The sequence below is a fragment of the Homo sapiens genome, chromosome 8, assembly GCF_000001405.40.
Source record: "Homo sapiens chromosome 8, GRCh38.p14 Primary Assembly".
Lineage (NCBI taxonomy): Eukaryota > Metazoa > Chordata > Mammalia > Primates > Hominidae > Homo > Homo sapiens.
In genome coordinates, this window is record NC_000008.11 from 27,687,807 (window position 1) to 27,700,901 (window position 13,095).

Below are 13,095 nucleotides of genomic sequence, written 5' to 3' on the forward strand. Positions count from 1 at the left end.
AGGAGTTCGAGACCAGCCTGGCTAACATGGCGAAACCCGTTTCTACTAAAAATACAAAAATTAGCTGGGTGTGGTGGCAGGCACCTGTAATCCCAGCTGCTCAGGAGGCTGAGGTGGGAGAATTGCTTGAACCCGGGAGGCGGAGGTTGCAGTGAGCTGAGATCGCACCACTGCACTCTAGCCTGGGCGACAAGAGTGAAACTCCACCTCAAAAAAGAAAATGAAAAGCAAGGAAGAACTAGGAATCTGATGGCTTCTTTAGTCACCAAGAGGAAGAACATTCTGGACCGGAATAGTAGGAGCTGTTCCAAGAAACTTTCAACTATTCAAAAATATTTATTAAATGTCTCCTGCATTTTGAGTATTCTAATGAAAAATGATAAACAGAACAGGATTCTGTAACCAGTCTGTCCCTGTAATTAGTGGCCTGTGTATGGTTTGTACTCTACAATTATTTCCATCTTCAGGAGGGAATGATTTGTTGTATTCATGATAGATGGTCAGTGATGACTTATGATGGGGAAGGAGGGGGAAAGTGAATACAAAGCAACAGATAAATATAAAGAAAAAAACTGGAAGTCCTTGATATTGGCAAAAAAAAAAAACCAGCCAGGTGCAGTGATTCACACCTGTAATCCCAGTACTTTGGGAGGCTGAGGTAGGAGGATCGCTTGAGTGCAGGAGTTCAAGACCAGCCTGGGCAACACAGTGAGATTCTGTCTCTACAAACAATAAAAAAGTTAGCTAGGCATGGTGGCACGTGCCTATAGTCCCAGCTACTCGGGAGGCTGAGGTGAGAGGATTGCTTGAGCCTGGGAGGTAGAAGTCAGGGGTAGGGAGAGAGCAAAGTTTCAGAGCTTCTGAGACCTGGAGAGAAAACAGGAATGTACAAGATTCAATAGTGAATATGGCTATAGGGGCATTCAGGAAGGAATCCCTTAACCCAGCATTTTTCAGACTTGCTTAGGAAGGGAGCTCTTAGCTGCAACTTTAAACATCTAAAGTAGGTTAGGGAGGGCCACACGGGGCTTTTAGGGTTCTGACAATATTTTATTTCTTGACCTGGGTGAAGGTTACACAGGTATTGGCTTTATAATTATTTTTCAACTGTACATACATGCGTATGTTTTTGTTCTTTTTTAAAAGTATGATATATTTCACAGTGTTTTATAAGAAGGGGCTGGGGAGCTCTGTGTTTAAAGAGGCTCTCTGCAGCAGCCCCCAAGGCACCTCCTTAGAACCTGGAATTCCATGGGAAACATCCTGAAAATGTTAGTGACCACAGCAAGTCAATCAGAACAGGCCCAAAAATCCAAAGCGGAGTCTGGGAGGAGTGTGTGTGTCCAGGCAGCCCAAAAGCATCCGAAGAAGTGAGATTTGATAAACCAGTTCCGGAAGTGTCCACAGGAAATGGAGCCACTCTCTGGGTCCAGGGTCTAAGGACCCCCAGTTCCGACGGAAGGGCGGGCTTGTGGAGACAGTGGGAATTACTTTTGTTTCCCCAGAACCTAGAATGCTGAGAGTGAATGGGCTTTATGCCAGGCTGGGGGTGGAAGTTCACAAGGAAGAGGAACGAGGAAGGGAAACGGGAGCGGCTGATGAAAAGCATGATTATCCTGAGCCGGTTCCAAGCTAAGCCACTGACCCAACGCGATGCTGGGAATGCACTGAGCGGTGACCCACTCATATCTCATAACCTCCCCACAGCACAGAGAGCAGATCTGGGTGGGAGGACAGGATTACCAAGGCCCTCTCTTCGAAGACACAAGTGCTGTTGTGTTTGGATGTGGGTGTGTGAGCATCGAGAAAACACCTAATTTTTCTAGAAGCTGGGAACCGTGTGTTTGGGGATGGCCCAGCTGGGTCCTTGCAGGGCCCCAGGTCCTCACAGAACCTAGTGGGATGGGAGGCCCGGTGCTCTCTCAGCTATGCTTAGGCTGGGCCGGACCTAGCAGAGGATCCTGGGCCCATCCTAAAGACCAGTGTGGGCCAGAAAGGCGGTTTATGTATTTATCATGAGCACAACTTCCTTCTAGGCTGGGCACGGTGGCTCAAGCTGGTAATCTTAGCACTTTGGGAAGTTGACCCAGGAGGATTTCTTGAGGCCAGGAATTCAAGACCAGCCTGGACAACATAGCAAGACCTCATCTCTACCAAAATAAATAAATACAATAAAGATTTTTTTAAACGACTTACTTCTAGAGACCAAATATCTGTATCTGTTATTCAGAGAGGCTACCTTTTCCAGTATTAGAGTACCCAAGAGACTGATCAGAAGTCACTGTGTTACTTTGGAATTTCTAGCCCCTTCTGATCTTAACACTCTGGGATAAAATACAGGAATTACTCACCTCCATGCCTCACCGTGTTGTCGCAAGAACTGAGACAAACAGCGTATATCTTGGTATCTCTGACAGTTTCCTCCCATCAGTCAGGGAGTCCACAGGCCAGCCCCACCTAGTCAGCACATGAGCAGCCAGCGCACATTTAAAGAAGGGGGCAAATATTCTCCACATCTCAAAACGCTCGTGCCCTTGACTCTGCATCTTCACGTCTTCTCTCTCTCATTCTCTCCTTCTGTATCTCTCTGCCTCTCTGTCTCCCTCTTTCTCTCACACACATGACGTGATGTATGTTCAAGGATATTTATTGAAGCAGTCTGTAATAGCAAAAGATTGTAAATTAACCTAAATTTCCATTAACAGGAGGCTACCTAAATTATGATACATTTCTAAGATGGAAAATTATGTGACTGTTAAAAAGTAATAAGACAGCTCTTTATGTACTGATAAGGAATAATTTCAAAAATACATTTAAAAAGTTAAAAAGTTTTAAAAAGCAATGTGCAAAAGAGCTATCATTTGTGTGAAAGTATAAATATATACAGTTTTTAAATTTTTTTTTTATAAGACAGGGTCTCGTTCTGTCACCCAGGCTGTAGTGCAGTGGCAAGATCATAGCTCACTGTAGCCTCAAATTCCTGGGCTCAAGGGATCCTCCCACCTCTGCCTGGCTATAGGCACACACCACCATGCCTGGCTAATTTTTTAATTTTTTTTGGAGAGGAGGTCTCTGTATATTGCTCAGGCTAGTCTCAACCTTCCAGCATGAAGTGATCCTCCCTCCTTAGACACCCAATGTGCTGGGATTACAGGCATAAGCCACCACGCCAGGCCATATGCATAGATGTTTTTAAATGCTGAGACTACCTTTGAAAAGATCCGTAAAAGCCTGGTAATAGCATCTGCCTTTGGAAAAGGGAACTGAAGATCAGATATAGAAGGGAGAGCAACTTTTCCCTGTATACTCTTCTGCCCCTTTTGAATTTTGTGAAATTTAAGCAATCATTTATATTTTAAAATATAAAACAGTAAAGAAGGCAGGCTGCCTTTCCAAAGCAAGGAGTATTTACATTTAATCCAGTTTGGGGAAAGCCTAGGAATTCATCAGTCCTCATTAGAAAGCACAGCTTTCTAAGGATCATGCGTCTGGACCCCACCCCAACCCCAGTCTTACTTCCTTGGCCAGAGTGACAGAATCTCAGAGAGATTCTTACTTCCTTTTACTTTCTTCTCTTTTTCAAACTGATTCCCTTCTTTTTGTGCTTGTCATGACATCATGTTCATTTCAATATACTTTCCTAACATGCTAACGTTTCCAGCCTGACTGCTTGTTTCATCCTGATTATAGTTCACGTTGGCAGCCCCTGTGGAGCCAAGGGCAGGCTGCTTGCACCCAGTGAACCGCTGTCTCTTTTGGGAAGTCCCTCCGTCTGCTGCATTAATCCTACCTCTGGCAATTCCTGTAAATTTCAGTGCACAAATAGCCCTTTTGTCATGTGAGGGTTCTGTTCTTCCTCCTGACTTCATCCTCAATCCCTTTTTCTCCTAGACCTTGGGCCCATTTCCTTGTGTGTCCTATGATTCCCTCTCTGCACTTCTTCATTACTCAAATCTCTGATCCTCTCAACAAAGTTCTCCCACCCTTATCATTCACCAGTGCCTGATCACAAAGCCTCCCAGATCACTCAGGTTTCAGGTAGGAGGTTATCATAAAAGACCCCTAAGATCCAGCAATTCCAATAAGACAACGCCAGATCATGAGTCTACTTCCCTATGTATCTCCTGTCCATTCTGTAAACCAAAAATAAAGTTCCAAACCCCCCAAACAAAGGAATGGACCCCTCCTCTCAGCCAAGGGCATTCCAAAATTAACCTGAAAAACCAGTTCAGCCATGATGGGAAGGGGGAGTTGGACATACCTCATTATACCCTCCTCCCTTTGGAATTCAAGCACAACCACCAGCATTAACATTAAAACAGAGATCTTAAAACTGATAGAACAGGCCATGTAAGGTGTCTCACACCTGTAATCCCAGCACTTTGGGTGGATCACCTGAGGTCGGGAGTTCGAGACCAGCCTGACCAACATGGAGAAACCCCCGTCTCTACTAAAAATACAAAATTAGCCGGGTGTGGTGGCACATGCCTGTAATCCCAGATACTCGGGAGGCTGTGGCAGGAGAATCACTTGAACCTGGGAGGTGAAGGTTGTGGTGAGCTGAGATCACGTCATTGCCCTCCAGCCTGGGCAACAGGAGTGAACCCTATCTCAAAAAAAAAAAAAAAAACAAAACTGATAGAACAGACTATTTGTAGCAATAAGATACATCATGTGACAGCAGGTCCTGAAAGAAATCAATGTATTTTACCCCAAATATATATCTGTTATGAATTTTGAAATGGTCCTGCAAAGCTGTCTCTGGTGGGGAAAATCTACATTCTGTAGAGAATCTTCTTTCCTTTCCAGATCTTTCCCTGATCCAGGAGAGAATTAACTAAGTGTCTGGTATCTTTTTAAGCCTGATTAAAAAAAATTACAATCTATTCTCTCTGAAGCCTGCTGCCTGGAAGCTTCACCTACATAATAAGAATGTTGGCCTGCACAACCCCTTATCTTAACCCAGACACTCCTTTCTATTGATTCCAGGTCTTTAGATAATAACTTAACTCTTTCAATCAGAAAATCTTAATCTAGGCCGGGTATGGTGGCTCATGCCTGTAATCCCAGCACCTTGAGAGGCCAAGGCACGTGCATCACTTGAGGCCAGGAGATCGAGACCAGCTCAGGCAACATGGCAAAACCCTGTCTCTACAAAAAAATACAAAAATTAGCCAGGTATGGTGCTGTGCACTTGTAGTCCCAGCAAGTTGGGAGGCTGAGGCAGAGAACCACTTGAACCCAGGAGGCAGAGGCTGTAGTGAGCCAACATCATGCCACTGCACTCCAGCCTGGGGAACAGAGAGAGACTCTGTCTCAAAAAAAAAAAAAAAAAGAAAAAGAAAAGAAAATCTTTATCCACCTATGACCTGAAACCCCTCCCCAACTTTAGGTTGTCCTGCCTTTCTGGATCAAACCAATGTACACCTTATATGTATTGATTAATGTCTTAAGTCCTCCTAAAATGTATGAAACCAAACTGTAGCCTGACAACATTGGGCACATGTTCTTAGGACCTCTTGAGACTGTGCCTCCGGCCATAGTCACTCATATTTGGCTCAGAATAAATATCTTCAAATATTTTACAGGGTTTAAAATTCCAACTTCATAAGTCAGGGAACTACATACCTTTTGATCACATTTCTTAACTGACTCTTTCTGGGGAGAGACTATTATAGAGTGGAAAGAGTTCTGATTTGAGCTGGAGAGATGTTGGTTTTGTAAAAAATATATATAAAATTCTAAAGCTCCCCCAACTATCTGAAAGGATCACTCCTCTCAGCCAAGGGCATTCCAGAATTACATAAAAATCTTGGTCAGGCCATGATGGAAGTGGGGGTTGGACATGCCTCATTATACCCCTCAGCATTAACATCAACACAGATCTTAAGTCTAATAAGAAACACTTACGGTCCATTCTGTCTAAAGCCTGCTACCTGGAGGCTTGATCTGCATGATAAAAACTAGGTCTCCACAACCCCTTCTTGTAATCCAGACATTCCTTTCTACTGATAATAACTCTTTCAACCAATTGCCAATCAGAAAGTGTTTAAATCTACCTATGACCTGGAAGCCCCTCCTTCAAGTTGTTCTACCCTTCCAGATAGAACCAATGTACGTCTTACAGGTATCGTTTGATGAATTATGTCTCCATAAAATGTGTAAAAGCCAGCTGTATCCAACCACTTTGGGCACAAGTCATCAGGACCTCCTGAGGCTATGTCACAGGTGCATTCTTAACCTTGACAAAATAAACTTTCTAAATTAACTGAGACCTGTCTCAGATATTTTGGGTTCACAATTTGAATCCTTGCTCTGTTGCTTACCAGCTGTGTGGTCTTGGACATGTTGCCTTTGCCTCATTAAGCCTCTGTTTTCTTTCTGAAAAATGAAAGTAAGAATCCTTACTTCATAGGGGAATAATGAGGATTAAATCAGATTTCTACATAAAGAGTATATTTTATGCCTGGACTCAGAGTCACTGCTTAGCAAAGGTAGTTCTCTCCCACTGAATATCCTCCAGCCTTATTCTTCCAACTTCATTCTACGGAAAATATGCCACATACACTCTTACCAGCATATGCAGGAACACCCGCCATGTGCTCATGTATATACAAACTGATCTACACAGAGATATAGAGATACATATTCATGTGGCCCAAGAAACAAGAAATTTTAAAAATAATAATTTTTAAAATACAGTAATGACATATTTTATCCTATTTTAATATCCTAGGAAAGAAAGTAAGGTGAGGAAAACCATGTGTTGAAGAAGAAAGGAATGAGCAGGGAGTTGAGGAAATGGACGGTTGAGAAGCAGAATTAGGGGAGTGTATGGGAGTAAGAAGTACTCTGATCAGCAAGGAGCTTACCTCCATGATAATTTGGTATGTACAGGTGGTTTATGACCTAATTTGTGAACTTGGCCCATCCAGGATAGCAGAGGACAGGGAGGAGGAATGAAAGTTGACCACAGAAAGACAGAGATTTGTGCCTATAGGTGGCCTACTAGGAGATGACCCCTTGCTGAGCTGGGGAGTCAAGAATTCAGAGTTTGGGGCAGCTGAAGCAACTGGAATCTGAAGGGCAAGGCATTGTGAAGAAGAGAGAGATGTGCAGGGAAGGGGCCCTACAGTTGTAGGTTTGGGTCACGCATGGGGTCTTAGATGAGGGTTTCGATGCACATGCACAAGGTAAGATCGTGTAGGATTACCAGAGAGGCTGATAAGGAGTTATGAATTGAACCAAATATAAGAGATAAAGAAGCCCTGGGGATATTGGAGATCCAGACCAGCCAGAATGGAGAGATGCCATTAACACCTTGTTAATATCTCAGGCATCAGACTGAGACATCACAGAAGCTGTGCTTTAGGAGTAAGGACTACACCCTGGAGTATAGCCTATTATAGATCCACCCTAAAAAGAAACTAACTAACTAAAACCAAGCCCTGAAATAAATCTGAGTTTGGAGATTGAGTGCTATGAAGTTAGAGGGTCTGGGTTTTTCACAGATTTGCCATAACAAAGCATAAAATACAGTCAAGACAAGTTCAAGGGGATCAGCTAGTGACTGAAGTGTATGCTGGACCAAAAATTAATGTTCTTCACGGGTAAATAACAGACTCCATAGTTTCTAAAGCATGTCATTGACACACTTAGAGAACTGACACACAATAGCAAATAAAAAATTACTAACTATAGGAAAAATAAACCAGAAAAATGTGACCCATTGTCAAGAAAAATTTAGGCAATAGAAACTAATCCAGAGGTAACCTAAATATTAGCAGACAAACACTAAAATATGATAATATGTTCAAAGAACTAAAGGAAAATATCGTCATAATGAGTGACAAAATAGGGAATCTCCGCAGAGAATTGGGAGTTATAAAAAAGAACAAATGGAAATTCTGAAATTGAAAATTACAATAAATAAATTAAAACGTTTATTGAATGAATTTAATGGCACATTGGAAATGAAAAAAGTCATAAACTTAAAGACAAATCAAGAGAATATATCCACACTAAAGAATAAAGAAAAAATACAGTAGAAAAATAAACAGAACTTCATGGGCATATGGGAAAATATCGAATGTTCTAACACACATGAAATTGGACACTCAAAAAAAAACTTTGAGGATAAATACAAACAAAAATTGCACTTATGCACCTACTACTCAAACTGCTCAAAACTAGGAATAAAGATTTTTTTTATTTTAATTTTTTTTTTTTGAGACAAGATTTTGCCCAGGCTGGAGTGTAGTGGCATGATCATAGCTCACTGTGGCCTTGAACTCCTGGGCTCAAGCAATCCTCCTGCCCCAGCCTCCCAAGTAGCTGGGACTAAAGGCACATGCCACCATGCCTGGCTAATTTTAAATATTTTTGTAGAGACAAGGTTTTACTGTGTTTCTGAGGCTGGTCTCGAGCTCCTGGCCTCAAGCAATCCTCCCACCTTGGCCTTCCAAAATGCTGGGATTACAAGCATGAGCCATCATGCCTGGCCAAGAGAAAATATTTAAAACAGCTAGAAATAAAAGCACATACAGAGGAACACTGTTATTAAAAACCACTGAATCTCATCAGAAATAGTAGAGATCAGAAACAATGAAATGAAATCTTTGAATCAGTATTTTTTGTTTTGTTTTGTTTTGCTTTTAAATTTTTTTGGAGACAGAGTCTCACTCTGTCACCCAGGCTGGAGTGCAGTGACAAGGCTCACTGCAGCCTCAAACTTCTGAGCTCAGGCAATCCTCTTGCCTCTGCCTCCTAAGTAGCTAGGACTACAGGTGCCTACCAACACACCTGGCTAATTTTTTTTTTTTTTTTTGTAGAGACAGAGTCTCACTCTTGCCCAGGCTGGTCTCAAACTGCTGGTCTCAAACTATTGTCCTCAAGTGATCCTCCTGCCTCAGCCTCCCAAGGTGCTGAGATTATAGGCCCTTTTAGATTACAGGTGAACCACTGAGCCTGACCAGTTTGTTTTTGTTTTACATATTTTATGATTCTATTTATATGAATTGTCCAGAAGAGGCAAATCTAGAAAGACAGAAAGTAGATTAGTCATTGCCAGGGGCAGTGATGGGAATGGAGAATGACTATCATTGGGCATGAGGTTTCTTTTTGAGGTGATGAAAATGTTCTAAAATGATATCATGGTAATGGTTGCACAGTTGTATAAATGAACTAAAAATCATGGAATTATACACTTAAAATGGGTGAATTTTATGGTATGTAAGTTGTATCCTGAAAAACCTGATTTAAAAAAAGAAAAAAGAAAGAACAACCCTGAGATAGCCATCAGAGGATTTATTCATAGTAGACACTCAGTGTCTGTAAAAGGCATCCTTTCTTCCAGTGTGTCCTAAGGCAGTTCACTTCCCAGAGCAAAGGGAAGATGGTGGATGGGGCCTCAGCAGACGCAGCCTGCAGCTGCTTAGTGAGAGCATGCATGATGACATCGTTCTCCAATTTATAGCCCATGTCATCTAAATTCTCCTTATCAAGCATCACTGAGGCCTCTGAGCAGGCGTCCCACGCCTGCATTTCCCGAAATGCCCTGTAACTCATGTTGCAGATGTGGCCTGAGGCATCAACTACTGAGAAGCCTGCAGACTTAGGGGAAATGGAGCTGAACAATTGTTGTTTTTGCTTCTCTAGTACTTCATTTGGACCCAATTCTAGCAACAGGACTTTCTTGTCGTGAAAGTAAATATCATATCCCACTGTGCCCTACTCAGAGCCCCACCAGACCTGCCTTGGGCAGTGCTTCCAGAAAGAACCCTCCCGATATGGTTTGGCTGTGTCCCCACCCAAATCTCATCTTGAAATATAGATCCCGTAATTCCTATGTGTTGTGGGAGGGACCCGGTGGGAGATACTTGAATCATGGGTGTGGTTTCCTCATACTGTTCTCCTGGTAGTGAATAAGTCTCACAAGATCTGATGGTTTTATAAGGGGAAACCCCTTTCACTTGGTTCTCACTCTCTCTTTGCCTGCCATCATCCATGTAAGACGTGCCTTTGCTACTCGTTTGCCTTCCACCATGATTGTGAGGCCTCCCCAGCCATACAGACCTATGAGTCCATTAAACCTCTTTCCTTTGTAAATTACCCGTCTTGGGTATGTCTCTATTAGCAGTGTGAGAACAGACTAATACACTTTCAATCCCACGTCACCTCTGCTATATCCTCAGAACCAGAAATCTGAAATATTTGATATTTTAAAAAGAAAATACTGTTAACAACAAAATTTTATATCCAGTGGAAATAGCCTTCAGAAATGAGAGGAAAACAAAGACATTTTCAGATCAATGAAAGCTCACAGAATTCATAGCCAGTATATCTGTACTATAAAAATTGCTAAAGGGTATTCTTTATATTAACAGGAAACAGAAACTTGGATCTGCAAGAAGGAGTGGAGAGCAGCAGAAGTGGTAAATTAGAACGTAAATATTAAAATGCATGGATTTTTTTCTCTCTGAATTCTCTTGAGAGACAACTGACTATTGTAAGGGAAGATTATTTTAAGACTATTTTAAGATAAGACTGGAGATTGGATTTATAATGTGTCAAGTTGATATGACAACAAGAGCACCAGGGATAGCTAATTGCAAATTTAATGGTGGAAGTCTAAATGTTTTCCCTTATAAACCAGAAATAAGGCAAGGATCTCATCTCCCAACACTTTTATTCTATTTGACTAGAGGTCCTCCCCAACGAAATAAGACAAACAAAGAAATACATATTGGAAGGAAAAATATAAAGCTGTATTTATTCACAGACAGCATAGTTGTTTGTATAGAAAATCCTAGGGAATTTACAAGAAAATGGCAATTATTAAAAAGTGATTTACCAATATCATAATATAGAAGGCCAATATACAAAAACCCATTGCATCTCTATATACTAGGAGCAAAAAATAAGAAAATTAAAATTAAGTAATCATTTAGCAACAGCATAAAAATATAAAATATATAGGAATGAATTTAGTAAAGGATGGGCATGATCTTTATAGTAAAAAGTACAGAATATTGCTGAAATTTTTAAATATCTTTATAAATGGAGATATATATATATAGTGGTATCTATCTATCTGTCTATCTATATATATATCTCATGTTCATGTATAAGAAAACTCACATTAATAAGACGTTCATGGCTGGGCACAGTGGCTCACGCCTGTAATCTCAGCACTCTGGGAGGCCGAGGCAGGTGGATCATGAGGTCAGGAGATCGAGACCATCCTGGCTAACATGGTGAAACCCTGTCTCTACTAAAAATACAAAAAATTAGCCGGGCATGGTGGCGGGCGCCTGTAGTCCCAGCTACTTGGGAGGCTGAGGCAGAAGAATAGTGGGAACCCAGGAGGCGGAGCTTGCAGTGAGCCGAGATTGCGCCACTGCACTCCAGCCTGGGTGACAGAGCAAGACTCCGTCTCAAATAAAAATTAAAAAAAAAAAAAGACGTTCATTTTCCTATATTCTTTTACATATCCTACACACTTCCAATCAAAATCCCAGCAGCCTTATTTTTCTTTCTTTCTTTTTTGTAAATGACAGAGTCTTGCTCTGTCACCCAGGCTGGAGTGCAGTGGCATGATCATAGTCCACTGCAGCCTTGACCTCCTGGGCTCAAGTGACCCTCCCACCTCAGCTTCATGAGTTGTTGGGATTACAGGCGTAAGCCACTGTGCCAGGCCTCGGCAGCCTTGTTTTTAAAGACACTGACAAAACTGATTCTAAAAATGTATATAAAAGTGCAAAGGATCTAGAAAATCCACAGAATTTTGAAGAAGAGTTCAGTTGGAGGGCCTATACTACATAATATCCAGACGTTCTCTAGGTCTGTCATGGAGGCTCACACCTGCAATCCCAGCACTTTGGGAGGCTCAGGCAGGAGGATCACTTGATCCCAAAAGTTCCAGACCAGCCTAGACAATATAGTGAGACCCCAACTCTACAAAAAATAAAAATTTAAAATTTCAGAAAGAAAAAAAAAGACTTACTCTAAAGCAGCAGTAATTAAGACAATGAGATAATGGTGTAAGGACAGACATATAGATCAATTGAACCACATTGAGATCCAGAAATAGATTTACACATATATATCAATTGATTTTCCCCAAAGACACCAATGATTTCAAAGTCTTTTCAACAAATGATTTTTATATGCAAAAAACAAACTTTGATATTACCTCATATAATACACAAAAATTCATCTGATATGGACCACAAACCTAAATGTAAAAACTAAATCTATAAAACTTCTTAAAAAATACATAAGATAATTTTTGTGACTTTAAGAAATATGGTCATGAAAGTCACAAACCATAAGAGAAAAATTTTGATAAATTGGATTATATCAAAATTAAAACCCTCTATTCTTTAAAATATCCCTTTAAGAACATGAAAAGAAAAAAAATCCCAGAATAAGAGAAAATATTTGCAATACATATATGAGACAAAGGACTTGCTTTCAGGATACATAAAGAACTCATACATCTCAATAAGAAAAAGACATGCAGCTCAAATTAAAAATGGATGAAAGTCCCAGCACTTTGGGAGGCCGAGATGGGCAAATCACTGGAGGCCAGGAGTTCAAGAACAGCCTGGCCAACATGGTGAAACCCTGTCTCTACTAAAAATACAAAAATTAGCTGGGCATGGTGGTGGGCTCCTGTAGTCCCAGCTACTTGGAAGGGTGAGGCAGGAAAATCACTTGAACCCAGGAGGTGGAAGTTGCAGTGAGCTGAGATCACACCACTGCACTCCAGCCTAAGCAACAGAGCAAAACTCTACCTCAAAAATAAAAAAAAAAAAAAAGATGAAAGACATGAACAGACATTTTGCAAGAAAAGTATATGAATGACCATGTAAGCACATGAAAAAGTGTTCCAGCTTCATTAATCATCAGGGAAATGCAAATGAAACCACTCTGAGATACCACTAGAATGGCTAAAATTTCAAAAACCAACAATACAAAATGTTGTGAGGATGTGGAGCAACGAGAACTCTCATGCATTAATGGTGAAACTGTGAAGTGGTACAACCCTTTTGGAAAAGTTAGGTGATTTCCTATAAATCTGAACACATACTT

The 13,095-nt window shown here is 41.1% G+C and overlaps 1 protein-coding gene and 1 long non-coding RNA gene across 4 annotated transcripts in view; one reads left to right on the forward strand and one right to left on the reverse strand.

Moving 5' to 3' along the window:
* SCARA3 (scavenger receptor class A member 3) overlaps positions 1-13,095 on the forward strand; it is a 100,679-nt gene that overhangs the window by 54,344 nt on the left and 33,240 nt on the right. For 2 of the 3 annotated variants that reach the window (XM_017013536.3, XM_017013537.2), the window contains exon 6: positions 10,386-10,433. In XM_017013536.3, coding sequence (XP_016869025.1) covers positions 10,386-10,433 — 48 coding nt within the window. Of the gene's footprint in view, positions 1-10,385; positions 10,483-13,095 lie in introns of those variants that run through there. The other variant, XR_949419.3, reaches the window with a different exon arrangement.
* On the reverse strand, positions 1,450-6,383 carry LOC124901921 (uncharacterized). The gene is made up of 3 exons (XR_007060870.1): positions 6,327-6,383; positions 2,352-2,659; positions 1,450-1,516 (listed from the first exon to the last, which is right to left on the reverse strand). It is a non-coding gene; the product is annotated as an uncharacterized LOC124901921 (long non-coding RNA).